Here is a 2,898-nt window from a genome sequence, read left to right on the forward strand (position 1 = left end):
TTTAATTTACTTGATTATTCTACAATATCGACTTTTTTTTTTTCTTAAATAATTCTTTATTTACATCCAAACATCAAAAGTCATTCAAGTTGAAGCCCTTCCCACAAGCATTAAGTTCTGCTCACAAAATGTTCAGGAACATTAAAAATCTCTGACATGAAAAATGTGTTACATCACAAGATTTTAAGATGAACGAAGTAAATAAATATGTAGCTCTGCACTTGTGGAGCAGCGGTAGGCAGACCTGCGAGACGACTCTGGCCCAAAGCTTAAGGCTGCATCATCCGTCAGGTGTGGATGAGATCCATCGAAACAGTGAGCGACGCCTGCCATCTACAGGCCACAATGTGTATTGCCGCATAGGTGCCAGTAGACCTTGAATTTAAGAAGCCTTGGGGGATGATACTCAGCGATGTGATCTCGAAGAGACTGTCCTATGTTGAATTATCATTCAATGTAAAAATATAATCAAATAATTATAACCATTAATAGATAACAGGTGACACTTCCCTTCACACTTTCCTCTGTGTAATTCTTACTTTACAAAATTGAAAATGAAGAGCTTTGTGTGTCTTCCACTTTTATTATCATCATGGTGCTTTGTCCTCCTTCACTTTGTGATTATCTCTGTATACGTCTGCCTTCCCCAGGAGCCAACTAACTCACGCGGTGCAGGGGACCCATATAATTCATCTATGTATACGCTCTTGCCTAGAGCAGGGTTTGACACATGGCAGGTATTCTACAAAGATTTGATGCATGAGTGCTTAAGGGAATGAATAAATAAATGAATAAGTAAATCAATCAAAAACTAATTATTTTCGAGTCACCTTGTTCTAAATTACATATAAATTTATGGAGAAAAACTGTAGTCTAACATAGATATATATGTATGTATACATGTTGAGCACAGTGTCTGCCCCACAGCAGGTTCACAGTAAACATTATCTACATTAGACTATAATGTATGTGTGTGTACATATATCTAAGCATATGTGTTCAGTTGGTTGTTTTAAAACTTCTGCAATAAATCAAGAGATTAATATTTTTTATTAAAATCCTTAAATCTGTATGTTAAGGATCTTGTGAGTTCAGCTTCAGGTCCCCATCTATGTCATTTTATTAGGCAAAATGTTCTGAAAGATTCATTCCATTTAGAAAGTAAACATGACAGCAAGGCCACAGTTATTACTTCTCATTTATTTTGTTCTTTTGGAGATTGACCATCTAGCTTAAGTCAGACAAAATGAGAACCAAGAAAAAAAATGTTTAGATAAAATCATTGTAAGAGAGAGAATATAAAAGAAAGTGGAAAAGTAAGATTAATATTGTTTTGCCTAAGAGACCTAGTTTCTCTCCCAACCTCTCCCCCACCAACACAAACTTGAAGAAATTTTTTGGATGTTTAAACTTAATTATCTTTAAAAATAAGGAAGCAATGCTTATGGGGCACAGCTGTGTGGCAGGCACTGTGCTTGGCATTTCTGTGAATTTTCACATTTAATCTGCCCAACAGGTCCAGCCCTAGAAGACACTTATTGGCAGATCCCTTTTATGGACCATGAAACCGAGTCTCAGAGAGATTATTTCTGCAAGGTCACGCTGTGGAAGGTACAGGGTTGCACTGGAATGAGCTCACACTGGCTTATAGGAGGCAACTCTTCATTCAGTAATGTCATGTTGGCAGCTTGAAGTCAGCCACAGTAGAATTATTTACAGCATGTCAATGAGCAATTGCTGCAAAGAAGTCCCTGTGCCTGCCTGGTTGTTAAACATACGCCAGCACACCACTGGTTAAGATGCAAAGATAAAAGTTTAAGAATATTTGACTTTAAAAGGCATCTTCTTCTAATAAACCACACTACCCAAGAGTTAAGGGAAAGTCTAGGTAAGGTTTATATAGCAGTTCATAGTTTAAAAAAACAAGACTTTTATGCATGTATAGTCTCCCAAAAATGAACCAGCTTTGTATTTCTCTCTGTATTTTTTTTTTTGTCATTCTTCCCTCTTCCTCTCCTTCTTCATCACAGTTACTGCCATATACTGAAGTTCTGCTGTATCCTGCTAGGTGTTTGCCATGAACTACAATATTTATAACACTGAGAAAAATAAAGCATGAGTCAGGTAAGCACAAAGCCCAGAATTACAACCAGGAATATAGAAGAAAGGTTTTATCCCTCGTATCTGTTATATGAGTCTTTTGTAGGTTTTTGTTTGTTTGTTTTTGTCTTTTCATGTGTGTGTGTTTGCAGACCTAACCCCTCATGTTTCTTCTTCTGAAATGTTCCCTTTTTCTTCAATTCAATTTTTCAACAAATATATGAGCACAGAGTATGTGCCGCACACTGTTCCACGTGCTAGAGATGCAATAGTGAAATCAGGAGAGGTTTCTGTCCTTGGGAACATCCCTTCTTGGGTAGGGAGACAGGACACAAAGCAGGAGAGACAGGACAGCAAGGTACCTAGCAAGAGGGCTGGGGTTTGAGTTCTGGGCCCACCACTTCCTAACCATGTGACTGTGGACAAGTTACTTAACCTCTTTATGCCTCAATTTTCTGCCATATGCTAAAAGGGGATAGCAATAGTCTCTATGTCTTAAAGTTGCTGTGATAACTAAGTTTCATTACATTAAATAGTATCAGGCATATATAAATAGTAAATGCCAGTATTTATTAGTTACTACTTTTAAGGAAACAGCTTAATTATAGGCTATAACTAGAGTTATGAAGGAAACACACCAAATACTGAGATTGGGTTGAGAGTGGAATATTTTAGATGAAGTCATCAATAAAGTCCTTTACGGAGAATTGATAAAAAGGATGAGAAGGTATCCTTCCTGGCATTGCTGGAAGAAGATTTCTAGATTAAGGAAGTGAAACTGCAAAGCTCTGAAATGTT

At 37.1% G+C, this 2,898-nt stretch overlaps 1 annotated feature.

The window, feature by feature from the left end:
- Positions 382–441: an enhancer, noted in NCBI's record as "active region_21323". NCBI's record gives its function as "activates an Ori minimal core promoter by ATAC-STARR-seq in GM12878 lymphoblastoid cells {active_cell/tissue: GM12878}" and the evidence as "EXISTENCE:reporter gene assay evidence [ECO:0000049][PMID:35858748]".

The sequence above is a fragment of the Homo sapiens genome, chromosome 4 (assembly GCF_000001405.40).
Source record: "Homo sapiens chromosome 4, GRCh38.p14 Primary Assembly".
Classification (NCBI taxonomy): domain Eukaryota; kingdom Metazoa; phylum Chordata; class Mammalia; order Primates; family Hominidae; genus Homo; species Homo sapiens.